The sequence below is a fragment of the Homo sapiens genome, chromosome 6, assembly GCF_000001405.40.
Source record: "Homo sapiens chromosome 6, GRCh38.p14 Primary Assembly".
Lineage (NCBI taxonomy): Eukaryota > Metazoa > Chordata > Mammalia > Primates > Hominidae > Homo > Homo sapiens.
Window position 1 is genome coordinate 14,080,579 of NC_000006.12, and position 27,033 is coordinate 14,107,611.

General features: G+C 44.5%; 1 long non-coding RNA gene across 1 annotated transcript, besides 6 other annotated features; it reads left to right on the plus strand.

Annotated features, from left to right (window-relative positions):
* Nucleotides 4,911–5,010: an enhancer, noted in NCBI's record as "active region_24041". NCBI's record gives its function as "activates an Ori minimal core promoter by ATAC-STARR-seq in GM12878 lymphoblastoid cells {active_cell/tissue: GM12878}" and the evidence as "EXISTENCE:reporter gene assay evidence [ECO:0000049][PMID:35858748]".
* Nucleotides 8,064–8,113: an enhancer, noted in NCBI's record as "active region_24042". NCBI's record gives its function as "activates an Ori minimal core promoter by ATAC-STARR-seq in GM12878 lymphoblastoid cells {active_cell/tissue: GM12878}" and the evidence as "EXISTENCE:reporter gene assay evidence [ECO:0000049][PMID:35858748]".
* Nucleotides 8,150–8,651: an enhancer, noted in NCBI's record as "NANOG hESC enhancer chr6:14088959-14089460 (GRCh37/hg19 assembly coordinates)". NCBI's record gives its function as "activates a minimal SCP1, AML or CMV promoter by ChIP-STARR-seq in naive and primed H9 embryonic stem cells {active_cell/tissue: H9 hESC(naive and primed)}" and the evidence as "EXISTENCE:reporter gene assay evidence [ECO:0000049][PMID:30033119]".
* Nucleotides 13,757–13,886: an enhancer, noted in NCBI's record as "active region_24043". NCBI's record gives its function as "activates an Ori minimal core promoter by ATAC-STARR-seq in GM12878 lymphoblastoid cells {active_cell/tissue: GM12878}" and the evidence as "EXISTENCE:reporter gene assay evidence [ECO:0000049][PMID:35858748]".
* Nucleotides 14,758–15,258: a transcriptional cis regulatory region, noted in NCBI's record as "chr6:14095567-14096067 region (GRCh37/hg19 assembly coordinates) targeted for CRISPR interference". NCBI's record gives its function as "positively regulates CD83 gene expression in GM12878 lymphoblastoid cells {active_cell/tissue: GM12878}" and the evidence as "EXISTENCE:mutant phenotype evidence [ECO:0000015][PMID:33828297]".
* Nucleotides 14,780–14,909: an enhancer, noted in NCBI's record as "active region_24044". NCBI's record gives its function as "activates an Ori minimal core promoter by ATAC-STARR-seq in GM12878 lymphoblastoid cells {active_cell/tissue: GM12878}" and the evidence as "EXISTENCE:reporter gene assay evidence [ECO:0000049][PMID:35858748]".
* On the plus strand, nt 18,056–26,706 carry LOC105374939 (uncharacterized). Its single transcript, XR_926500.3, has 3 exons — nt 18,056–18,189; nt 22,698–22,873; nt 26,460–26,706. It is a non-coding gene; the product is annotated as an uncharacterized LOC105374939 (long non-coding RNA).
* The last annotated feature ends 327 nt before the right edge of the window (nt 26,707–27,033 follow it).

The following is a 27,033-nucleotide window of genomic DNA, read 5'->3' on the forward strand; positions in this document are numbered from 1 at the left end:
CTGTCACCAGGCTGGAGTGCATTGGCACAATCTCAGCTCACTGCAACCTCTGCCTCCCAAGTTCAAGCAATTCTTCTGCCTCAGCCTCCTGAGTAGCTGGGACTACAGACACATGCCACCATGCCCAGCTAATTTTTGTATTTTTAGTAGAGACAGGGTTTCACCGTGTTGGCCAGGATGGTCTCGATCTCTTGACCTCGTAATCCACCTGCCTCGGCCTCCCAAAGTGCTGGGATTACAGGCATGAACCACTGCGCCCGGCCTAATTTTGTATTTTTAATAGAGACAGAGTTTCACCATGTTGGTCAGGCTTGTCTTGAACTCCTGGCCTCAGGTGAGCCGCCCGCCTTGGCCTCCCAAAATGCTGGGATTATAGGCATAAGCCACCGCGCCTGGCCTCATTTCTACTTTTTGCCCTGGAGGTTGCTGTTGGAAAAGGGGACATCAGGCCTTGGAAGTGTAAGGGCCAAGGGAAAGCTTCTCCTCTGCCCTCTAAAGGTTTGCGCAAATGAACTTACAATAGGCAGGTTCATAAGAGAAAAAAGCATTCAAAACGTGTTATCGTGCATACGGATATGGGAGCCATACCAAGGTATGAGACATGAAGAGGGACCAGATGGATGAGGCTTGAATACTCTGTATAAACCCTGGAGGCAGACATTATTTTGCAAATGATTATTTTTGGAAGCTGGATAGGAGTGACAATTTCAGAAGGTGAGAGGAAAAACTGCACAGGAACAAAGGTTGTGTTATTATGCAGATAACATCCTCCAGATAATGTAGGCGCTTCCCTCGGAAAAATAGATGAAAGGATGTCTGGGTGTGGTGCTGACCCCCAGTCCTTTCTCTTCCTGGTGATTAATCATTCCTGGTTATTTGATGAGATTCCTAGGTAGGGGTTCTTAAGGCAATTGCATTTCTTTTGGAAAGTTTTTTTAGTCAGATAAGAAAATTCTAGGCTGGGTGGTGTGGCTCATGCCTGTAATCCCAGCACTTTGGGAGCCCAAGGCAGGAGAATCTGTTGAGCCCAGGAGTTCAAGACCAGCCTGGGCAACGTAGGGAGACCTCGTTTCTACAACAACAACAACAAAAAATTTAGCCCGGCATGTTGGTGCTTACTTGTAGTCCCAGCTACCCGGGAGGCTGAGGTAGGAGGATCACTTGAGTCCAGGACATTGAGGCTGCAGTGAGCCATGATTGCACTACTGCACTCCAACCTGGGCAACAGAGTGAGATCCTGTCTCAAAATACAATATAAATAGATAAATAAAATAAAATTCTAGACAGAGTGCTTCAGGAAAGAGGATCAGAGAGGCAGGAAGTTGGCGATATGTCAGAGAGAGACCCTGAGGCTGCTTCTTTAGTTCAGTATGTCAAAGTGCCACATTATAGAGTATTGTTTTCTGAGCCCCAACAGAGGACACAGTCTCAGCTGAGTCCCAATTCTGCAACCTACTTGCTATGTGACCTTAGGTAAGTCATTTAACTTCTCTAAGCCTTGTTTCTCAGTGGTAAAATGAGAAAAATACTACTTCATAAGGTTGTTGTGAGGATTAATTAAAGTAACATAATGGCTTTTAAAAATGTCAAATATTGTTAACATGGTAATTACAGTTGTTGATTATCAGACCGAAGACTAAAAGGAAATGAAATTAAGAACTGACAGTAGACAGCTATTAGAATGTTCTATAATCCTGTGAAGGCCAAAAAAATCATTACTAAGTCGTTAGCAAGAACTTTGAAAAGGGATCTTCCAACCACCTTGGGAAATCACTAAGAGAGGCATTGGCAGTGCGGCAAGGACATTCAAGGGACTATGAGTCCTTTGACAGTGGCAGCAGGAATGCTGTCCACTAAGGAGCCTTGAATAAATGGAGTGTGAAAGAGAGAAACATGGGGGAAACCTGAGCTGAAAAGTGTCATCCCACATCACGAGGCTGGGTGGGAAAGAGAGGGGTTTGGTGAATCCTTTTTGCAATGCAACTGACAATAATTCCAGTGCACATGTGTGAACTCGGGTTAGAGTAAGGAGTGGGCAGCCCCGGTGAGTAGAGATGTCAAACAGAAGCTGCAGGTGAATGGAACATGGGCCTTGAGGCATCCATTCTGCCATGGACATTGACTGACTGACACCTCTGGGAAAAGTTTGGAGCTGACGTTTCTCCTGTCTGGGCCCCCAATCCTAAGAAATGCTATATATATATATATTTTTTTTTTTTTCTGTAAGTAAAAGACACAATTACCAGATCTTCAGAGTGGATACTGGATGGACACTTCCCTGGGAGGAGGCGAACAAGAGCCTGAGACTTTGCTTCTCCCTCACGTTCACCTTTCCTGCATTGCTGCAGTCCTTAAGGGAGCTGTCTGGAGGGCCCTAGCTGCTGCATTCATGCTTACCTCAAGGGGTGTCATTTGCCTTATAATACTCTAGGCCAAGGTGGGGTCGATGGGGTGAATGAATCAGTCCTCAGCTTTCAGCCACACTGTAAACCCTCCCCTCATTTTAACAGGTGGTTCCTAAAGAAGAAAAAGCCTCCAGGACAAATAAAAACAAAACCAAAAATCCCTAGACATAATGGCAGAGGTGCAGGTGATGCACCATGAAGTTTTAGGGTCAAGATCTTGTCACTACCGTCTTAAATTACAACTGTGTGTAATGCTGACTAAAGGCCACCCAGAGGGTGTGGATGCCTTAGCAAATGAGGTTCCACTCATTCGTTCATTCATTCGATAAAAGGATACTGAACACTTCCTCTGACACAGACACTAGAGATGCTGAGATAAATAGAACATGGCTCCAAGCTCTGAAGATGACAGCAGAGTGTTTAAATGTGTGGGTTCTAGGACCAGGATGCTGTGTGACCTTGGTCATGTCACTTGATGTCTCTGTGCATGAGTTTTTGTATTGATGACATGAAGAATTTAATAGACTTTCCTTCCCAGGGAGATGTGGTAAGGAAAAATGAGCAAATACATGAAAATCACTTCGATTGGTGTCAGGTACCTGACATACATGCTTATGCTATTATTATTTATATTATTACTTATGCACCAGCAGCAATTCTTTCAGATTTCTGGATATCAGAGTAAATATATAAATAAATAAAACCTCCATCCCAGGCAAGTAGTTAAAAAAATAAAAAATCCACACACTGTCCCATTGCAGTGCCTGGAATGTGTCCCCTGAAATGATTTCAGAACCTGCTGCCTCTGTAGCTAGAAGGTGATTTGATACCAGATTGCGTATTTTCCATTCAAATAGCTCACTTTCCCCACCAGCACTCTCCCCCAGCCCACTCTGCTTCCACTGACACACAGAAGCAGTGCTGCTGGATCAATTTCTCTCTCAGTTCAGCCAGCACAGCCAGCACAGCACATCTTGGCTTGGCCTTCAGCTCAGTACAGAACATGTGTGTCTCCTCATTCATTCGGAGCCCATATCCTTGTCTTGGTTTCCTGACAATGAGACCGAGCAACTCATCTCATCTTATCTTCTGCACACAATACCCATGATTCCTGTGCATCCCTGTTCCTAAAATCCTTGAAGCTCCTGCCTGGGAGGATTTCCACTGAGAAGAGGAGAAATCATCCCCTACCATCATGTAGTGGTCCAAGCTCTCTCTCTCACTCTCTCTCTCTCTCTCTCTCTCTCTATATATATATATATACACACACACATATATATACACATATATATGTATATATAAAAATATATAAAATATATATTTTTTGAGATGGAGTTTTGCTCTTATTGCCCAGGCTGGAGTGCAATGGCACGATCTTGGCTCACCGCAACCTCTGCCTCCTGGGTTCAAGCGATTCTCCGGCCTCAGCCTCCCAAGTAGCTGGGATTACAGGCATGCACCACCACACCCGTCTAATTTTGTATTTTTAGTTGAGACAGGGTTTCTCCATGTTGGTCAGGATGGTCTTGAACTCCTGACCGCAGGTGATTTGCCCACCTCGGCCTCCCAAAATGCGGGGATTACAGGCGTGAGCTACTGCATCTGCCTGCGGCCCAAGCTCTCTAACAGTGGCATGCGTGGGGTTTGAACAAAGAGAATCTCATGAACTGGGTTTGCTGAGGAAGCGGCTCTGAGTTGGGAGCCCTTGGATTTCACCAGATGAATGAGACAAAGGAGGTGGGAAGGGGTCGTCCTGTCCAAATGGAAATTGTTAACACTCTCCCCTGCAGCACCTGCTCCTCCCTTTGTGTTCTTTGATAGACAATTTTATTTGTTTTAACCACCTCTTCTTCACCCCATTGCTGAAGGAGAGATTCCCGCCCTAGGATTACAGGGGTGGCCAAACACGCACACTGGGCAGATGAGACCCGCAGCAGTGTGTTAGTTCCATACACTCACAGCATGGACGAGGAGGACACTGTGTGCCACACAGGGCCACAGGGAGGTTGCGCTCCAAGCAGAGTGAACAACCAGAGGCTATGGACGAAGGCAGGCTTTGTAGCAGCAAGAAGATGGAGTGTCCCTGGTTCCCCCGGGAGGATGTGACTGGCTTGTTTGAATAACTCCATGGACTGGCAGGGAACTGAAGCCCACTACTCACAGATAAGCAGAAATGCATCTGTTCCCCTTGAAAAGGAAGGCTGTTTGGCTTGGGGATCTTACCCTCAGGAGAACAATGAGGGGATTTTGCAGTCAGGCCATTTAAGGCCCTCTCAATTTAACCAGATGTCAAGGCAGCACATTTGTGAATTTTAAGCCCTATACCACATCATCATCCACTTGGTCGCACAAACCAGAGTGTGGGTCTAACACTTGACCCCTTCCTCTTTCTCATCGCCCACAGCCAATCAACCACTACATTCTATTGTTTGTGTCTTTTTAGTATATGCAATCCATCCACTTCTTGCTGTCTCCATAGTTCCAGTCACTTTCATTTCTCATGTGATTTTTGCAAATTAACCTTCAGCTCTTTCTGAGGATCTACAGCTGCTGGCCCCTACAGGCTTCTTCCTCCCCAGAGCACCCAGCTTGGCAAGCACAGCACGCGCTGTTCCCACCTTACTCACCATCTGGGTCAGGCGCTATTGTGCAGTGCACACCTTGCATACCTGTGTGGCAGCCTTTGGTTTTATCTCTAATCCTGTTTCCCCTCTATAGCTAGAGAGCTTTGGGAGAAGGAAATATGACTGTACCATTGCCTATTTGCTTCAGGACAAATCTAAACTCACTGCTTTTGGTGTGAAAGGCCTCTTCCTTCTGCTTCACCTCTCTCCCTTTCTCCTCTTGCACATTTTGCCTGCATTGGCCACAGTAAACTGGTCCCAGTTTCTAAATAGTCACTGTCTACCTCTGAACCTTTTCATGTTCTGGTCCTTTTGCTGGGCTACTTTTTTTCCCCACACAAACTCACTCTCCCAGTCTCAGGGGAGCCCTCACTTCTCCCATAAGCTTCCTTGGCCCTGGCTGAGCTTGGTTTGGGCACCTCCAACGCACGCTTGAGCTTAATCTTGTCATACACTTCCTATGTGTTAGTATTTGCTCCTCTCTCTACTGATCCTATAAGACTCTGAAAGTCAGGACCTGTATCTTTTCACCACCACACTGCCAACATCAGGCAAGGTGCATGGCACAAAGGAAACATACAGTAAATCTGTCAACCAAAAGAGGGCCATTCCGCTCAGAGGAAAAGTGTTGGTTGTTATCAGTGATTGAAGGCTTACTATGGGCCAGCTTTAGTTCCAAAGAGAGAGAGAGAGAAAGAGAGAGAGAAAATGATTTCAAATATATATATATGTATATATATACGTATATATATATGTATATATATACGTATATATATATACGTATATATATGAAAATAATGTCCCAAGTGGGTTTGAATGGGAGATAGGGGTTTTCACTTTTCTCACCTGATTTCAGATCACCAGCCTCTCAGTGTAAGCACGTTGCTTCTTTGAGGGCAATTTTAGTGTTTGGAGATATGCATTTTTCATATGAAATGCCAGCCAACTGCTCTTAGCCAAAGAAAGAGTGATCTGTCCCAGTGCTGGCTGGAAGAATGGGCCCGGTGGCAAGTTTTGGAGAGATCACAGATTGGTCTCCAATAGGGTGCCTGCCTACATGATTTTTCAAGGGTAACTTTGAGTCACTGCTTTCATTAAATGTGCTGACTTTAGACCTCTCCACTGCCTCAGACATGATCCCATAGCAGTGGGCTCTGGCTTTGCCATTTTGAGTTTGGCTATTTTCAAGACAATTTATCAGGTAAACTCCAATTCTAAGTCCTTTTGGTTTGAGACACTTCCTTGCCTGAAGTGTATGACTCATTCTCTCTTTGCTGGTGACTATTTTATCAGTGATGGCGAGGAATAAGGGAACTAGAAATACTGAGTTATAAATTTAGAGCTAAAAGTAACTTAAGGATTAAGAGATCCAAATCCCCCATTTTGCAATGAGAGAACTGAAGCCCATGGAAATGTACAAATGTGTGAAAACCACAGGATGGATAAAAAGAAATCCAGGTCTATTCCTTTATTCAGTGATTTTTGAAAGGAGTTTCAGATCAGGAAAAGCCCAGTGGATGCAGATATCTTTGTGTTTGCTTTTCAGCTGGTCATGAATAATGCTGCTCACTTATTGTCTGCATTAAATACCAGCCTTGGAATCAGGGCTTTGATAGAATGATTAAATGTGTACCTTAATGAGTTTCGAATTAAAGTTTGTGAATAACTAACTGAATGAACCATCTTGCTTCTGGGGTAACGATGAGATGGAAATCCTCCTTAAGGTAGATTTGGTGTCACAGGATTACAGATTCCAGAAGTTTCTAGTGGAGATCTTGGGATTCACATCTCAATGGGCTTCAGAACTTTTCTTTCTTTTTTTTTTTTTTTGAGACAGTTTCCCTCTTGTTGCCCAGGCTGGAGTGCAGTGGCACGATCTTGGCTCGCCGCAGCCTCTGCCTCCTGGATTCAAGCGGTTCTCCTGCTTCAGCCTCCTGAGTAGCTGGGATTGTAGGCATATGCCACCACCCCTGACTAATTTTGTATTTTTAGTAGAGACAGAGTTTCTCTATGTTGGTCAGGCTGGTCTCAAACTCCCGACCTCAGGTGATCCACCCGCCTCAGCCTCCCAAAGTGCTGGGATTACAGGCGTGAGCCACCGAGCCCGGTGGGCTTCAGAACTTTAATTGTGAGGTTTTGAAGCACAGCCCCAAAAAAGAAACTGTTACTTGAAGCCTATGTTTTAGGAAACACAAATGTAATATTGATGCTCACAGCCACTGAAGAAGTAATTCCACGCAGGTCTCCCAAGCAATTTATTGGACAGGTCTAGAGGTTTGCAAAATGGATTTTATTCCATTTATATTTTGGTTCTTAATCCTCCTTTATGCCAAATACTTCACATTTCAATTTGGTATTTCAGAATCTATTTAAATAAATCACTAGAGCTTAATGGAAAATCAAAATCAAATTAAATAAATGGGCTAACTATTCAGCTGCTAAGTTTTACTTCAGCCATTACAAGGTTAGGAAAAACCACGGAGCAATTTATAACTAACCCGACTGCTCAGGGAGAGACCTCTATATCAGCTGTCCCCTCCTGAGCATACTTAACCCATCTCAAATGACACATGGAGAAAACATCAGTTCTTTGACAAATACCTACACAAGAACAATTTAAATTGCAAACCCAAATCAATATCAAACACACATCCTGCTGCATTTTAAGTAGAAATAGGGGAGATAGCAATGTAGAATTCATTGCAAATCATAAAAGTTTATTTACCAAGCTTAATGCTCAGAAGGGAATTAAACTCCTTAAAACTGAGAGAGTGTTATATAATGCTGAGAATTAAGGGAGAAGTAGCAAGTCTGAGTTAAGAAACCATGTTTTCCTGAACCCATCTTAACCTTCAGGGTCTCCAAGGTTCACAAGCATCTCTAGAACTCTCTGTTTACTCTCCCACTTTCTTCTTTATTAGCAATGCTGCTATTCCATCTTTAGGACCACTGCCAGACCAAAACTTCCTGAAAAGGTAATTTCCCTTCATCTCTTAAAGCTTTCTTGTCCTTGTTTTCCCAATCCATCTTCCTTTTCTTCTCTTTCTTTACTTCAATGTGCTGAAGGCACTTTTAGCTGGTGGTATATTAGGCAAATTTTGTTGCAGTAACAACCCCAAATTTTAATGATTTATGAAAATGAATCATTTCTCAGTCCTGGGACTGTAGGTCAGCTGCGCCTCAGCTGTGTCTCACCTAAACTTTTTGGCTTCCTCTAGACTTGATGGGGTTTGGTTGTAAGCTTCAGGTCAGATTCAAGTCTGCTTTGTGTGTTTTTCATTCTGAGACCCAGGCTGAAGAAGCAGTGGCCGCCTGGGGCATCCTTTTCTTATGGAGAGTAGCAGGAGTGCCAGACAGGAAGCGAAAAGACATAATGCCTCTGAGTCTCTCTTTGTGCTGGCATGCCACCATTGTGCCACACCCCATTCTTCAGTCAACGCACATCCTATGGCCCAGCCCAAGGTCAAGGGATGGGGAGATGTACTCCATTCAGGAGGGTGGACCAGGAACATGAAGACTGACTGAAGAATAATATAATCTACAATAGATGGGAGAAGGTGGAGTACAGTGATCCCTCAATCACTCATATAAAGAAACATAAAATAGTTCTCCAACATTTATTATGCTAGGGATGCTCTGCCCTTATTTCAGCACTCAAGGTTGCCTCAACTTCTCTGGAAAGAGAAGGTGGACAGAAATATAACTGGTCAATAGTCATCATAATAATGCTTGGAATTTATTGTGCAACTGCCACGTGCACAGTTACTTTACATATATTCATGTAATGAGTACCCATATTGGACTGCAACAAATGTAACTTTCTATGACTAAACTTAATTTCTATTTCAGTTTCTGTTTAGTGCTCTCATTCCAAAGCGTTTCAGAAATCTAATTTTTTTTTTTTTTTTTTGAGACGGAGTCCCGCTCTGTCACCCAGGCTAGAGTGCAGTGGCTCGGTCTCGGCTCACTGCAAGCTCCGCCTCCTGGGATCACACCATTCTCCTGCCTCAGCCTTCCGAGTAGCTGGAACTACAGGCGCCCGCCACCACGCCCGGCTAATTTTTTGTATTTTTAGTAGGGACGGGGTTTCACCGTGTTAGCCAGGATGGTCTCAGTCTCTTGACCTCGTGATCCGCCCGCCTCGGCCTCCCAAAGTGCTGGGATTACAGGCGTGAGCCACCGCGCCCAGCCCAGAAATCTAATCTTTTTCCCCGCAAGGGTGGAGGTGGTGGGGCGGGGCGTGGCGTGGTTATCACCTGTCGGTGCCGGCGTGGTCCTGTGCGTCCTCTCTCCTGCCTGGCCTCCAGTCATCCATGTGTGTAGTACTACCGCTGCCCCCACCTCATCCTGATGAGGCCCTGTGGATCTGGCTCTCTTCGTCACTCCTTTGCCCTTCTGGGGAGCAGGGACAATATCTGGCTGTGTTGGCCCAGTCCCTTTCTGCCTTGCTATGCCACCTAGCAATTTCTGCTCTATTGCTTCCCACCATGCTGGGCTCAAGGGACTTTGAGGTCTTATGGTCTTCGAAGGTTTCACACATGTTCTTGGGTCTTTAAAGCTATTGGGGTTCCTATCAGTCATCCTTTTCTCAGTTGGCTTGGCCCAAGATGGGGTGGAGAGGAGCAGGAGGCAGCGCTTTTTCTGGAACCATATTGCAATGATTAACTCTCTTGATTCTTATCAGTCTCTTCTCTCAATCCGTGGAACTGTTTCTGGGTTCAACTGGGGTGATTTGGCTTTATGGAGTGTTCCCAAATGTGTGGTTTATGAGATAATTTTATGTCCTGATACCTTCATATTTATCGCAGGTGAGAAAGTTCATTTTGAGGCAGATGAAGTCACTCTCCAACCTTGACTTAGTGAAGAAGTGGAAAAAGGAGAATTTGTAGGATTCAAAAGCTGAAACTTTCTCCTCTAGGCTAAACTGGCTCTACAAAAAAAGCAAGTTTTAAGCAGAAAAGGGCAAAATAGGGATAGTTTTAGTTCGAGCTGCTATAACAGAAATACTAGAGACTGGGTGGCTTATAAATGACATCGTTGCTCACAGTTCTGGAGGCTGGGAAGTCCAAGATCAAGGTGCTGGCAAATTCAGTACCCGGTGAGGACCTTCTTCCAGGTTTATAGATGGCATCCTCTCACTATGTCCTCACATGGTAGAAGCAGCAAGAGTGTGCTCTCTGGCCTCTTTTAGAAGGGTATTGATCTCATTCATGAGGGCTTCCCCTTCATGACCTAATCGCTTCCCAAAGGCCCCACCTCCTAATACATATTGATACATGAATTTGGTGGCAAGGGGAGAGACACAAACTTTCAGTCCCTAACAGGGATCTTCTGGCATCTCAACCCTAGTAGGAAGATTGCAGTAACTTGTGTGGGACCAAATCGAGAATTTCTAACAGGATCTTCTGTTGGGTGTTGGGGAGATGGCCTCAGTTTGGGGGGCAAAGTGGAGATTGAGCATATTCAGCTCTTGTTTTTAAGACTACAGAACACATTCCAGATAGAGAGAGTTTGAGACAAAATCCACACCCACCCCGCTCCCAAAACTGGATCCACAGAGGTCCAACACAGTGGTGAGAGGCTACGCTGAACTCACTGACTGTGCAGCCTTGGAGTTTGGGAAACAGACTTAGGTTTCTGTGTGCCTAGAAAGCATGTATAAACAGTACGACCCCTCTCAGTTTCTGAAAAGATCTGATACATGTCAAACACCCATTCCATCATCTCTGGTCCTGCCTTAAGTAGTGCTTCTTCAATTTCAAGAGATGTTACTCCATAGCCGAGCATTGACTGGGTAATAAACTTTTGTGACTTGTAATAAAAGGTGTGTTCACACACACACACATGCAGGCGCACACACACGTTGTCTACATAAATGATTGACTTGGGCAAGGCATCTCATTCTCTTTATTTTCTGTTGGAACCACATAATTTTCTTTTCTCTCACTCTTGGTTTCTCTCTCATGTGTCATGCATTGTGGTGTTATAACTAAGTACTATTCTTGCTATTATCACCAAGGAATAGGGAATAGAAAATCAGGCTTTTTTTTTTTTTTGGTATAACTGTTCTCCTTTTTTCAGCCTCAATGCATTTTGAAAGAAGTTGGAAGTTAGAACACTTTCTGAAGTATGACTGTTTGCTTGTTACTTAGCTTGTCTGATCCTTGTAAAATAGGAATAATGGGAATATTGACTGGGGAGAAAAAGGGGAGATGCAAATCTGCACACGTGACATCATCCTATTTATGTTAAAATATATACATAGAGACTTACTAGCATAAAATATGCCAAGATATTCATGGTGGTTATCTCTGGGCTGTGAGATGATGGACAAATCTGAATTTCTTCCTTATATCACCCAGTTTGATTGCTCTTTTCACTAAATTTGTTCCCAAATGACTTTTTCTGTTTCCAAAATCGTATTCATTCCCAAAGGACAAAGAGTTGCTGCCTTTAATAATATATTTTTTTAAATGGCTTTGAAGGAAATCATAAAAAGATTTTCAGCACAGTTTTGACCACTGGCAATTCTTTGGAATAAATGAATAAGGTGGCTGATTTGAAGGAACAAGATTCACTTTGACGTATAATTTCTGGAATATTGCAAAATCAGTTGTGGTGCTTTGATAGCTATGCCCATACTTGGAAGGAAAGCAGGCTTATCCCATTGTTCTTTTGGTGTTTTTTTGAACTCCAGATCAATATAACATGCGATTGTAGTAATCTGACCAGTCATCTGGAAAGTTCCAGTATATGAAAAGTAGATTTGTATTTAAAAAAAAAAAAACACCCTTTCATTGAATGCTTTAATATAAAACAAACCTTCCTGACTTGTTTTATAAAAAGAGGAACTATACTACATTTGAAACTAAACTGTGGGAAAAAAAATGTGGTTCTGAAGAATATTCTCTGGTCTTAAATAGAGAATATGAAAATCAAATATGATCAGCTGTCATACACAAAAGTGTATTTTATTAATAAAAATGAAACAGAGCACTGTAAAATAGGAAGTAAACATTAGCTTTACACAAGGTTTTGCTTCATAGTCCTTTTAAACTTAATCTTCGCCAAAGGCTGAGAAGCGATTCACAGGCCTTTTAAATAGGTGGCTTCACTATCTCTCACTTATTTCTATTGATGTATTTTGGCTGGGAAAGAGAAATGCTTATATTCAATATCTATGGAATTGAGAATTTGAATATTATCTTTATCAAAAAAGATAAGGCATATGACATTGAGTATTAATAGATCAGAAATATTTATTTGATTGACAACTCAGTTACTTTTGCTTCTCCAATGGACACTCCATAAATATTCGAATGCGTCTTATGTCTACTGTGTGCATAGCCTTATGCTAATTCCATGAATGCAATGGTGATGTGTTTCCAGCTAACATCTGGAAGCCTTATTCTGCCAAAGATGAGAGATCACGGTACAGAATGTTCCTAATAAGAGTATTTTATTATCCATCCTGTACTCGCATGGTCCCTGTTCTCAATGACTTTATAGTCTTGTTGATAAGGTTTCAAACATGCAAGTATTGAGTAATATGTCAGACTGACTTCTAGAAAACGTTTTATTGACTATGATCAGGGGCCCAAATATAGGACACCAAAAAGAAGGATTTAGGGTGGACAAGTTGTAGAGAAGCTAAAGGAACCAAGGAAGGTGTCACAAAAGAGGTGGTTTGAGGAGTGTGTGATGCAAGGATAGGGTAATAATTCATCTCTAGTCTAAATCAGACCTTATTTTGGCAATTTTATTAGTCATCAACTACCGCAATAATGTATAACAAATAATGCCCCAAGTCTCACTGGCTGACGCCACAAACATTCATTTTTTTATTCACAGGTCTGTGGATTGGCAGGGACTCAGCTGATCTTGGCTGGGCTCCACTGGGCATGGCTCCAGGCTCCAGGTCTACTTTGGGCCTGCTTTATATATTTTGTTCTGGAACTGGCACCACCTGGGGCATAGTCTTCTTACGGTGATGGCGGAAATACAACAGGCCAAGTCAAATCATGCAAGCACATTTAAAGCCTCTTTTACATCATTTCCACTAGCGTCTGTTATTCAAGGCAAAGCCTGTGGCTGAGCCAAGCTTCCATGGGGTGAGGAAAAACACTGCACTCATTCTAGTGAGAGCCACTGCAAAGTCACATGGCAAAGGTCACGGGTGTAGAATTCTGTAACAGAGAGAGAGTGAAGAATGGGAAACAAAAATTCAATGTACCCCAGTCACATTTTTGAAAAAAATAGTGGAAAAATTGCAAACAGTATAGATTAAAAAAACAACAACAACAAAACCTGCACAGTACAGGAACCAAGTGAAGAATGTAGGTGGAGATAATTGTGTTTAGCTGGCCTGAAATGAAAAGACTAATAGTCACTTCCACCACTATCTTTGAGTTTGCAAGTTTGTGAGGGGCCTAATGCTGACTAGTGGACCCTCCTGGCTGAAAAAAAAAAGACAGTAGACTGGAGTTAAATGAGAACTCAAGTTGCGAGAAAAATCTTCCCTCTTTGGGAGATAAAGCCCTGGCAGCAAGAACTGAAGGAGGTAGAGTACTATTTCTGCATCTTCAGGGAGAGCTGCAAGGAGAGGGAGCTGTGTCTTGTCTCACTGAGGTGCCTGGACAAGATGAACATTTCAGGTCTTTTTCAGTTCTAGGTTTCTATGATGTCAGTGCTACTTCCCTTTCCAAAACCCCACAGTGGCCAGGCATCACAGTGCCACAAGTGAAAAGACCCATGACTGCCTTTATAAGTAAGTTCTTCTTTTGGTTTCTCTGGCAGGAGGCAGATGGAGGAGGAGAGAAAGGCCAGAGGTCTGTTTTGGGGTTGTTGTCTCTGGTTGTCTAAGTCATGCCAAGACACCACCCCTTGGAGCCTGGTTCCTGACATCCGGCAGCATGGCATACTTGAAGGGCATGATGTGGGGATAACAACAGAGCCCTGGCTGAGTCCGGTGGCTCACGCCTGTAATCCCAGCACTTTGGGAGGCCGAGGCAGGCGGATCACCTGAGGTCAGGAGTTTGAGACCAGCCTGGTCCACGTGACAAAACCCTGTCTCTACTGAAAATACAAAAAAAGTTTGCCGGGCATGGTGGCACACACACACACACGCACGCACACACACACACACATGCCCCCATAAGCATCCCAGTATTTGGAAGCAATCAGTTGATTTTTTTTCTTTTTAGAATTCAGTTTGGTGTTATAGGGACACTGCTAGCCTCAGGCAGTGCCGCAAGAGCAGATCAAGGCTCTGATTAAAAAATTCCTCAGTTGCTCCCAGCTGGAGATGTCTGCTTACAAAGCCCTTACAAAGAAATGTTTTTCAATAGGCAACATTCTCTGGTCTGGCCCCACCAAGGAAGTACAGCAGGAAATCTCACAGGCATCCCGATTGCCATTGCCCTCCTGCTCCCAGACACACACTTGGCCCCAACTGGCCTCTGACATGCTCCATGGGGAGCAAAATGGACTTGCTCCATTTTATCCATTGCTCTGGGCTCCACGGTGTTAAGCATGATGGCTTGGAAACTCTATATACCCAGTAAATGAATGCTTGTTGAATAACTTAATGAACACACCCCATGTCAGCCTATCTCCTCAATGCACATCCGCCAGCCACCTCAGCTCAGGCACCTCGCTGATTTTCAAAACATGGGCTAAAAGCTACCATAGGGCATCTAATTATACCTTCTGGTGTAGAAGGTGTTCTCTCATAGGAGGCCTTAGCCAAGTTTGAGAACAAGGACTTTGTATGGAATGAGCTGCATAATGGACAGCACTGGCTGGACCAGCCATTGGGGGTGTCTCTGGCTGAAATTTAACAAAGTTTCCATAGACCTTTTACCAGATTTACTGAGAATGTTGATTTCCTCTATTAAAGCTTAAACGTCAATTCAGGGGAATTTCCCCATAAATGTTGTGAGACTAAACGTGGCTTCTTGTGGGTTCCACATGGGAGCTCACCAGGATGTTGCCCAGCCTTTGTAAAGGTCTGCCTGGTTTCCTGTACCTAGTGGTCAACGTCAGCAGCTGTACCTGTGCCCAGCATTGGGAGGCTCGTCCTCGGCCCTCACCCGGCCATAGGCAGTCAACATCACTAGTTCTCCCCTGCTTAGCACCCAGTGGCTGCCTTTTTGGCCTCTAAACTTGCTTCCCTGTGTTCTTGATCCCTGAAGCTCACCACTGGTCCACCTGCCAATTACTCACTTTAATCTTATCAGAGTAGATACCCAGGTTTTACATTTCACCCAACAGAACTTGAGTCCTAATTCTCATTTCCTTCCTTTCATCCATGAGCTTTACATGGGAATTTGCATTTACAGTTATGCCTGTGAATTCAGAGGCCTCCCCTGGACCAGGCGGTCATGTGCTGAGTGAGGCGGGTGACCAGCTTGGAAGCCAGGGCGGGAAGTTCGCATGGCCCTCTGGGTGAATCCTTTGCTTCCCTGCTTTGGAAGACAGCTGGCTGCAGAGCAAGAGTTCTCTTGTGTGAGGCCCATGGCAGTGTCGGACCCTAAATGGCCATTGGAACACACCCCCAGGTTTCTAGCTGCACTGGGTAGGGGTGGGTGAAGGAGAACTGAGGGCGCGTCAGCCTCTCCTGCCTGGACAAAAAGGCATGTAGGTCACAGTTCTCCCCAGGTGTTCTCAAGTCTTGCTTGTTTGTTGTCAAGAGAAGGCAGAATTCTGCCTTGAAAAAAACCTCTGTGATGGCCATTTAAACAGCCTGTGGATTGTTTCCAGGCCTGAGCACTGCTGGAGGAGGATGCTGGCTTACAGAGGCCTCTCCAAAGCATCAGTCTTTGGACTCCCAGGAGCACTATTATTAGCCTCCCTTCACATTCAGAAGGCGCCCACCCACAAGAGTGGGTGGATATCAGGGTCTGGGCCCACATCTTCTGACTCCAAGTCTGTGTATCTTGCTACCATGCAGCTGATTTCCCAGTTGCTGAGTTTTCTCTGTGCACATCTTGATGGCTGATACCTGTAATAACAGAAACTTCGTTCAACTCTCATAAACCCTGAGTCTGGAGGTCTGGGACATATTAGGCCATACGAGGGGGCTTAGCTTGCTTTCTGTCTCTTTCTCTTCCACCTGGAACATAAGTTGTCCCCTAGGTGAAGGCCGTCTGCCACACTGACTGTGTAATCTGAACTTGGAGCCAGAGGTTCTGAGTCTTAGCGCCGCCCTTGCTATTATCTTCCAGCATGATTTTTGGGCTTGTGCTTTCACTCTACTGAGACTCAGATTCCACACCAATAATAGAGAGATTTGAACTAATGTATCCATTGAGATGGTTTGAATGCATGTTACAGAAAACCTAACTCAAGCAGGCATAGGCAAGAACTTGAAATAATTAGTTCATGCAATTCATTAAAAAGGGCAGGGGCTTGATCCAGGGGCTTGAACAATATTTCAGGAACTGGTCTGTTCCCCTCTTAGCATTGCTCTCTTCCTTCCATTTCGGCTTCATTTCAAGGCTCCACATGATGCCAAGAGGGCTGCTGGTTACTCCAGGTCTACTACCTCCCAGATGCTAGTGCAAGGAAAAAGAGGAAGATGGCCTCTAACAGTGGCAGCTAAAGGCTATGAAAAATCACTGACTCAGTTGTGTTAAGCGCCCACCCCTAGGCCAGGCCCCATGGCCAGAGAAATGTGGTACTCCGAATGGACAGGACTGTCACATGCCCACCCCACATATGGGTGGGGCCCATGAAACACACATGGGAAAAGGATGTGGGATGCGTGCTTTCCCCCCAAAAAAGCAGGGCATGGTTGCCCAAAGAATGGCAAATAGGTACTGGGTGTTAAGCTTCATTACTGATTTAATTTTATTGTTTGCCAGGTAGAATGTGAACATGCTTTCAAAAGTCAAAACAATATAGAAAAGCATGCTCAGGCTGGGCCCAGTGGCTCATGCCTGTAATCCCAGCACTTTGGGAGGCCGAGGCAGGCAGATCACCTGAGGTCAGGAGTTCGAGACTAGCCTGGCCAACATGGTGAAACCTCATCTCTACTAAAAGTACAAAAATTAGCTGGGTGTGGTGGCCAGTGCCTGTAATCCCGGCTACTCGGGAGGCTGAGGCAGGAGAATTGCTTGAACCTGGGAGGCAGAGGTTGCAGTGAGCCAAGATCTACCACTGCACTCCAGTCTGGGCAATAAAAGTGAAACTCTGTCGAAAGAAAGAAAGAAAGAGAGAGAGAGAGAGAGAGAGAGAGGAAGGAAGGAAGGAAGGAAGGAAGGAAGGAAGGAAGGAAGGAAGGGAGGGAGGGAGGGAGGGAGGGAGGGAGGGAATTAAAAAGAAAAGCGTGCTTTTTCCATCCTATTCCCTCATACTCCTTAGAGGAAAACAACTACAAGATTTTTTGGATTTTTCTTCCCATGTTTCTTTTTGTAGAGAGAAGCTCAAGAAGCTTGTCTTTGTAGAGACAATATGGGTGGATCACGAGGTCAGGAGATCGAGACCATCCTAGCTAACACGGTGAAACCCTGTCTCTACTAAAAATACAAAAACAAAAAATTAGCTGGGCATGGTGGTGGGCGCCTGTAGTTCCAGCTACTCGGGAGGCTGAGGCAGGAGAATGGTGTGAACCCGGGAGGCGGAACTTGCATTGAGCCGAGATCGCGCCACTGCACTCCAGCCTGGGCGACAGAGCGAGACTCCGTCTCCCCCCCAAAAAAAAGAATACTCAAGTCTCATTATTTCCCTTCTTTCTTCACAAAAGATATCCCACTCTATATACTCTTTTGTACCTTGCCTTTTCACTTAACAGCGTCTCCTGGAAATCATTCCATATCATTTCACAGGGATCTTCCGCATACTTTTTATATCTGCTTAGTACCTCATTGCATGTGTGTACCATATTTTATTCAAGTACTCTATACTTAGGCATTTAGGTAGCTTCCAATATTTTGCAATTATAAAAAATTGCTGCAATGAATAACCTTGGGCATTTGTATTTTTACGTAGTGGAAGGGATATATTTGGGGCAAATTTACAGAAGTGGAATTGCTGAGTGGAAGGGTACATGCATACGTGGTTTTGTTAGATGTTGCTGAGTTCATCTCCACAGGGGTTGTGCCGTATCACAGTCCCACCTGCAATGTACCAGAGAGCCTTTTTCCTTAGCCTCACCAACAGTGCGTATTGTTAAGCTTTTGAACTTTTTTTTTTTTTTTTGCCAATTCAATGAGTTAAAAATGTGCATTTAATTTACATTTTACTATAAGTTTTTTTTTTTTTTTTTTTTTTTTTTTTTTTTTTTTTTTTTTTGAGGCAGAGTCTCACCCTGTTTCCCAGGCTGGAGTGCAGTGGTGCAATCTCGGCTGACTGCAACCAACCTCCGCCTCCCGGGTTCAAGTGATTCTCCTGCCTCAGCCTCTTGAGTAGCTGGGATTACAGGCGCCCGCCATCACACCCGGCTAATTTTTTTATTTTAAGTAGAGACGGGGTTTCGTCATGTTGACCAGGCTGTTCTTCAACTGCTGACCTCAGGTGATCTGCCTCCCTCGGCTTCCCAGAGTGCTGGGATTACAGGCGTGGGTCACCGTACCCAGCCCTAGTATAAGTAAATTTGAACACATTTTCGTATGTTTAAGGACCGGTGTTATTTCTCTTTTAATGAATTATCTGTTCATGTATTTTGTCTATTTTTCTTTAGGATTTTTAGAAGTTTTAGAATTTTAAAACCTTATGATCTGCATCTGCAAATATTTTTCTGGTCAGTTTTCATCGTGTTTTGACTATGTTTATGCCTTTTTAAAAAAAAAAACTTTTTTTTTTGTGGTGATATTTACCGGTCTTTCCTTTGTAGCCTCTGGATTTTGGTCATATTAAAAAATCTTTTCCTATCCAGGTTATACAGGAGTTCACCCATGTTCTATTCTAGTACTTTTATAGTTTCATTTTGCATCTAGGTCTCTGATTCATTTGGCAATTATTCCTGTGATAGTGTGAGAAATAGATATTATTTTATTTTTTTTTTCAAATGACTATTCAGTTGTTTGAGTACCCTGTGTTAAGAAGACTATCTTTGCCTCAGTGATTTGGGGATATTTGGGCATAGCACTTTTACATAACTTGGATTTCTATAAGCATTTGGGTCTACTTCTTGACTTTTTATTTTATTTAATTGATCTTTCTGAATTTTTATGAGTTAGTACCACACTATTTTCATTATAGGGGCTTCACAGTGTGTACTAATATAATGTAGAACCACTCCTTGTTCAGATATAATTTTTTTTTTTTGAGACAGGGTCTCACTCTGTCATCCAGGCTGGAATGCAATGGTGGGATCTCAGTTTACTGCAGCCTCAACCTCCTGGGCTCAAGTGATTTGCCCACCTCAGTCCCCAGAGTTGGTGGGACTACAGGCATGCACCACCATGCCTGGCTGATTTTTTTTGTAGAGGTGGGGTCTCACTATGTTGCCCAGGCTGGTCTCAAACTCCTGGGCTCAAGTGTTCTGCCCCCCTCAGCCTCCCAAAGTGCTGGGATTACAGGCACTGCATTTGGCCCAGATAGAATTTTTTTAAACATAGGAGTTATTGTAGAATATATGTAGGCTGATGAGTATAAGCAAGTAGCGAGTTGGGTCAAGAGAGAGAGGAGATGGTTGCAAAGTCCTTCAGTAGGCACAAGTGGAGAGGTCTTGGAAAGGAGCCAGATAACACAGATTCAGGAAGTTGGTAGATTTGTTGATGAGAAGAATTCTCTTCTGATTTTGTTTTCTGGTGAAATAAAAACCAAGGTCAACAGCTGAGTAGGGAGAGGAAAGAAGATGAGAAATAGTCATCTTGCGCAGGGGGATTGCGGAGTGAGTTGACTGAGGAACTACCCAGATGGTGCTGGGGCCCACTTGAATTTTATGGCCATACATATAAAGGAAGAAGTAGGCACAGTTATGTGTTTTCCACCAGCCTTGTACATGGCTTAGGTTTGGGAGCTGACTAGGCAAGGAGGTAAGTGTAAGCAGACTTGGGGTGTTAGCCTCACAAGTATGACAGATGGGACAAGGGGTTAAGTGTGGAAGGACATGGATGCAAGGGAGCAGAATGATGGGCCCTGGATCCAAGCTGGGTAAGAGGGACAGATGTGAAAAAGATGATAGTGCCAATGGATCAGAGATCCCAAGAAATGCTGGAGTCTATGCAAGGGGAAGCAATGACCCTGGATATTGATCTAGGAAATGATCTTGGGAGTGGGTGGATAAAGTGGGATAGAAGAAAAGATGTCAACAAGGAGATAAGAAACAGAAGGGCCAGAATGTAGGGTGGGTTGTCTTTGTAGTTGTGATGACAGTGGGGGTGGCAGAGAGACAGTGAGCCAGATCCTGAACTCTTGATGAACAGGGGCAGTGGCTGGGAGGCTAGAGATGACTGCCGTAGCATCATCATCATGTAGATGAGAGCGGGTAGCCAGTGGCATCTGAATCAATCGTTCTTCAAGGACGTGCAGAATTGCAGCACCAGGAAGTCCTAGTCTGTTACTCCCAGATATCTCCCCACACCCCGTTTCAGTCTATTTCCCTGGTAACCTTCCAGGGTTGGATTTAATTGTGAAGTCTGAGTCTAAGAGGATTGTCTAAGAGATTTGTCTGTAGAGCTTACCATTTCTTAAAACCCAGAGGCAGAGATCATAGACAGCCCTTTATGAGGGGCTGACATGACTGGGATTCCTCTGCAGTGTAGACCAGAAGAATGAATAGTACATTCAGTGTCATAATGGAACTCAGAGCCTAGACCCTGAAAGAGTCAAATAGACAAAACCTGGATCAAACCACAGGGATCCCTGCCTACCTGAGCAGCCTGCCCTGGGTCCCAAATTAAAGCCTCAGCTCTTTTCTCCAAGAGCTCCCAAGAGTTGAAAAACACCCTCCTGCTTCAAGCTTCCTTTCCCATGCAGACTTCTTGAGAATCCCAAAACATTTGAAGCCAGATTCTGAAGACTATAAGTGTCCCTGCCAGGTGAACTTAACCTGGGCACCCTCGGAAGGCAACACTTTCCTAACCAGCCCTGTTTAATCGGTGACTCCAGTGTTGCTTTGGCTATGCCACTGAAGTTGATCTTACCTGGGGACCCAAGGAAGGAAGGGTCCCCAGTCTTTCTGAAGGGAAAATAGATACTGTTAAGGAAATCAGTCTTTCAGGGAGCAGAAATAATTAATGGACTTAGGATGAGGTCCATGTATGAGGTGACAAATGGTGTGTATGGGATGTAAGAGCTGGGTATTTACTAAGAATTAAAGGTGATGGTCTATGACTAGTTAAGATGTTAGAAATAAAGTTCAGATTCTTTTTTTTTTTTTTGAGACAGTTTCACTCTTGTTGCCCAATCTGAAGTGCAATGGCACGGTCTTGGCTCACTGCAACCTCTGCCTCCCGGGTTCAAGCAATTCTCCTGCCTCAGCCTCCCAAGTAGCTGGGATTACAGTCATGTGCCACCATGCCCAGCTAATATTTTTCTTTTTGTATTTTTAGTGGAGACGGGATTTTGCCATGTTGACCAGGCTGGTCTCGAACTCCTGACCTCAGATGATCCTCCTGCCTCAGCCTCCCAAAGTGCTGGGATTACAGGCGTGAGCCACTGCACTTGGCTAGATTCATTTTTTTAGTCATAGCTGTATAATAATAATTTGGAAGTTGACATCTGTCTTTTTGGGGTAGAAAAAAAGTGCACCCTGGACTTGGGATCCCCTGACCCAGCTCACACAGGAAGGAGAGGAGAACAGGTGAGAAAGGCCACCTCTGTTTCCATGCCATGTCTCAGGAGGTCCTTGTGAAGGAGAGGCAATGTCCCACCACCAGCTCTTACTCTCAGGACTGGGTTCCAAGGTTGATGGACAGGGTCTAGACAATAGAGAAGAGGGTAGTGGTGACAGAGCTGAGGCTGGAGACATTCACCCATTCCTCCAAGTTCCTCTGCTCACAGAGAGAGAAGTGATGCTTGGGGATTACCAGCCCTGAATCCCCATCTGCAAGAGATGCCTCAGATCTTGAGGAAACACGCATACACAAACACGCGGAGAAAGAGAGACACACACACATATCCATATGTTCACAACCACATATATACCCACTCTCATATAGGCATGTCCTCAAATGCACAAATCTGGAGTTGCAGCTCTTCTCATCCAGACACAGGCAGCAGCCCAGGACCCTCCGATTGCTCAGTAACCTGAGGTCATGGGGGGGATAAAGGAGCCTTATCACTTAGATAACATGTTTTGAACCCAAACACCAACAGTCAATGGATAAATAAAGTATTTTATTTAAATACCAGTCCTTTGATAAATAAAGGCTATCGAAATCAGCTTGAGGTCTTGGGGACTGAGTCTGACCCAGGCAGAGACCCCGTGGGAAGTCCTCTGGCTCAGCTGGGTGGTCTTGGTCCTGCCTGACTCTGGCCTAGTTGCCCCGAGTCCTCAGGGTCAGGAGTCAGACCTTGCTCCCCAGCCTGACTTTCCTGTGCCCAGTCTTAGCCCCTGGCACACACTCTCACATCCTTGATGCTGGTCTCCCACCTTCCTGGGCCCTCCTCACACCCTCACTGCCTGCCCCATTCCTGCTTGGACCAAATGGCCACACTCAGAGCCCGATGAGATCTTGGCTTTTGCTACCAGACATCTGACCCCTCTCTTTCCTGGCAGGCTGGCCTCCTTGTACAGATCTACTTTCTGGACTCATGTACCCACACAAGCCTGCCTTTGGAATGGTAGAGAGTTGACTGTGCTATCATGTTTGAATCTTCAGGGAAGGTCTATTCGGCTGGCCATGAGACATGAGAAAGGCTGCCTTTACCTTTGCGACATCATAATCTTCTCATGTAAGTTACTGAAAATACCGTTGTCAAGGAGCTTTCACTTGTTTTCTTCCCTATCATGGAAGTGACCAGAGACAAAGTTGAACTCGCTCTTCCCTTTTGGCTTGATGCTGACCTGTGGTACCTAGAGGGCATTTATAGAATGTCCTATAAAAATTCTGTAGGGTATTAAAAGAGGATGGGGATAGGGGGCTCCTCACTGGCCTCATGACATAGTGACATCCCACAAAGGGAGAAGGTGTAATTGTGGAACACAGTATTCAAAATCTGGAATGTTCAAGACATATGCCTACCATATCTAACAGTAGTCTCTTGGGTCAGACATATCTGGGCATCAATTTCCTCATGTGTACTAGTGGACGTTTTAATATCACCTGTCAGAATCATCATAAGGATTAAATGGTGTGATGTGTATGTCTGGTTAGTATCACTCAGTGGATGTTTGTTTCTTTTGTCTTACTGGTACCAGTAGAATGTGCTTTCAGTGGCATTGTTGATATACATTCTTAAAAATAAAACCCTTAGGCAAGCTTAGGTGCTTTTTCATATGAAGTGGGCTTGCTCCCATTGCAGGTAGAGATAAACGCTCTGTCATTTCTGCTGTTCCTGCCGGCAGCTGCGCTCAGGTCTGTGCACGTGGGGGAGACCTTCCCTGGCCTTCCTCAGAACCATCATGTCTGCAGCATCCCCAGGGCTACAAGACAGCAAGGAAGTGAGGAAGAGCAAGCAACAACCTGGTGCTAAACAAATATCAGCTTACAAGTGACTTGTCTCAGGAATAATTCTTGCACCTGTAGAGCAGACAGCCCATATCAGGACCAGTGACTGGGGAATAAACACCCTGAAAGGCAGTCGTAGGACTTACTGACAGCTCTACTGTGTCCACAGCTGATGTCCACCTTAGAGAAAAAACTAGGTGCTGATGTCCATAGCTTTTAGTCACAAACAGAAAAGAAGCCCACCTCTCGCTTTTCTGTTTCAAAGAGCAAAATTCTGCAAACACAGTTGAGGGTCAGTGTTTGGGGCAATGCCTAGTGAGGGGTGAGCGTATGGAGGGCTATGTTAGCACCTCCCACCTTGCTCCTGAGCCCCAGGCAGAGGCTACTCATGTGCTGCCGCTGATGTTGCTTGAATTCCTGAAACATTCTGCAGCACCCTACAGAGAGGTATACATGTAAATTACTTTGATCCTTGCCGGATTATTACGGGTGTTACACCCCCACCATTGAAAACTGTTAACAAATCATTTCAGAACCCTCAAGTGGCCCCATTAAGCTGTGATAGGAACAGCCACGGGCCAAATAACGGTGAAGAAGTTTGTCTTTGGTATCCCCTTGTTATGCCTGCTCTCCTCTTTGTGTGATTTTTCCTCTCTGAGCTAAAACCCATCACCCAGCCACGCACAAGGAACTGGTCACCTCATGCTGACCCTGGCCATCAAGCGTCCTCTCCTTAAGGTCCCAGACAAGCCTGCTGCCACCAGATGTTGTATATCATGACATAAATGAGAGGTTGCATACAGACAGCCATAGGTGTGTTTGGTTTGTCTTGCAAAAGTGTTTTGAACAAAAATCAACCATTTGCAGCATTTAAGAGATTTCATATAATATCTATATCCAATCCTCTGAAAAAAAAACTTGAAAGATTTGACGTTGGTTGACATTTTCCCATTAGCAACAATTGGTGGGAGCTAAGTGGTGGCTTCTCTTAGTTGGGTGATTACTGTCCAGTTTGCCATAGTCCTCACTACTCTCTGTTGCTTTTCTTCTCACATGGTTCACATTTATTGTCAGGTAACTGGCTTTCTTTGTTCCCTCACATAACCCTTCTGGCCCTGTAGGTAACTGGATTTGCAATCACTGCTTTAGATCTTGCAAGCCTCCTCCCTCATCACCTGCTTTCATCCAAACTTCGTCAACTTGTGCCCATTTTCTCAAGCTACCCTGTTTTTGACAGCCAAAGGAGCTCTAATAGGATCAGCAAACTTATGGAAAAATATAAATGGTCCTTAAGGGTTTGATATCTTTATCAGTTAATTATACCCATGATAATGCTGCTTAAAAACCAATCACAAAATCTCAGCAGCATATAGCAGAAGGCATTTATGGAGTTCAGATAGTCAGCCCACGAGATGAAGGCTGGCTCTAGGCTGGGTTCAGATTGGGGATGGGTTGACTTTGCACCATATGTTTCTCATATTCTTCCTGGCACAAATGGGCTAGCCTGGACATGTTCTTCTCATGATGATGGTAGAGATGAAGGAGAGAAAGTGGAATTAATACACCTTGATTTCTGCTTCATTCCATGGGCAAGAAGTCACACTACAAACTGTATGAAGCACCCTTGACATAAGTGACTCCATCTTAGAAAAAAACTCCATCTTACATTTCATAGGGCACTTGCCAATAGGGACAAGATATTTTGCTTAATAAATAAATTAATAAGTAAAGACTGCAACCAACCAGATAAGGACATAAATAAGCACAATCTTCCACTATCATTCTTCACCAGAGGACACTGCAGCCATAAAAAGGGCAGGAGGAGGACTTCAGCGCTTGAAACAGTGGTTTTTTGTTTGTTTGTTTTGTTTTGTTTTGAGATGGAGTTTTGCTCTTATTGCCCAGGCTGGAGTATAGTGGTGCGATCTCAGCTCACTGCAACCTCTGCCCCATGGGTTCAAACAATTCTCCTGCCTCAGCGTCCTGAGTAGCTGGGATTAAAAGCGCGTGCCACCACGTCCAGCTAATTTTTGTATTTTTAGTAGAGATGGGGTTTCACCATGTTGGCCAGGCTGGTCCCGAACTCCTGACCTCTGGTGATCCACCCGCCTCAGCCTCCCAAAGTGCTGGGATTACAGGTGTGAGCCACCACACCCGGCTGAAACAGCTGTCTTAATCAACACTGTCTTGCTGTCACTCAAGATAAGCTCCTTGGCATCTGCCATGAAAGGCTCTGGCATCTGCCACGAAAGGCTCTACCCACATCAAAGGTGTTCCTTGCAAGACCACTGGACTGCCTGGCCCAGACCAGGAGATTCTTTTTGTCTCTGTTGCTCTTCATGGACTGGTTCATTAACCATTTTTTCCCATTTCTTTTCTCTTGATGTTAAATGTTATTTTGTTTGTTGTAGATGTTTAACCCATAACATTTATATATTGATTAGGTGTACTATTATGTATAATTTGCAATATAGAGTGACTTGTGGAGTGGCTTCAGCCTCTGTGCCTGTGACTCTGACTGCCCAGTGAACAGGAAGTGCTAACGAGAATTGCCTCCTTGGGGACCTGATGTAGCTAGTGGCTTTTGTGATTGAAATAGCATCAGTAAAAGTCTGTCAATGTGAAAAGACACAAATGTGCATGGACCTGGTTACCTCTGATCTTGCACCACTCATGAGACAAACCCAAGGTCAAGAGGTGGGGGAGTTATTCCCACCCACAGCTCAAGGGCACAGCAAATTTATAAGGCATGTGTGAGTAAAGAATTAACTCTACCCAGAGAGAGGTCTGACCTTTGCCGTTCACTACTAGGAGGTAACCCCTAGGCTCCTGGAATATCAAGACTGATAGAAATGTCTTTGTTTGTCTAGGGGCATTGGCCACTTGACAGTCTAAAAATATGATTTGCAATGGAGGCATTTGGTGGAGGTGATGTTAGCTCTGCCTTTGGAGGAACTAGAGAATCATGTCAGCCACATGGGCAGTAGTGATTGAGCTGCAATAAAAACTCTGGCCACTGAGGCTCAGGTGAGCATCCCTGCTTGGCAATATTCCATGCATATTGTCACACATCATGGCTGGGAGGAGGTACCACTGTCCATGACTCCATGAAAAGAGGATGCCTGGAACCTCCACATTGGACCTCTCTTGGACTCTGCCCTAGGCTTCTCTTCCTTAGCTGGTTTTAATCTGTATTCTTTCTCTGTAATAAATGGTAACCATGAGTATAACAGCTTTCAGCCACTTCATGAGTCCCTTCAGTGCACTATCATACTCAAGGGTGGCTTTGGGAACCCCTCAAACTTGAATTGATGTTGGAAGCGAGGGTCCCCTGACTTAACGTTTGGCCTCAACTCTCACAGCATGAAAACAAGGTGTGAAAATGAAAGCTGATAATGCAAATTGCCACAATATTTCTCTCAAGTACCTCTGTCTTCATTGATA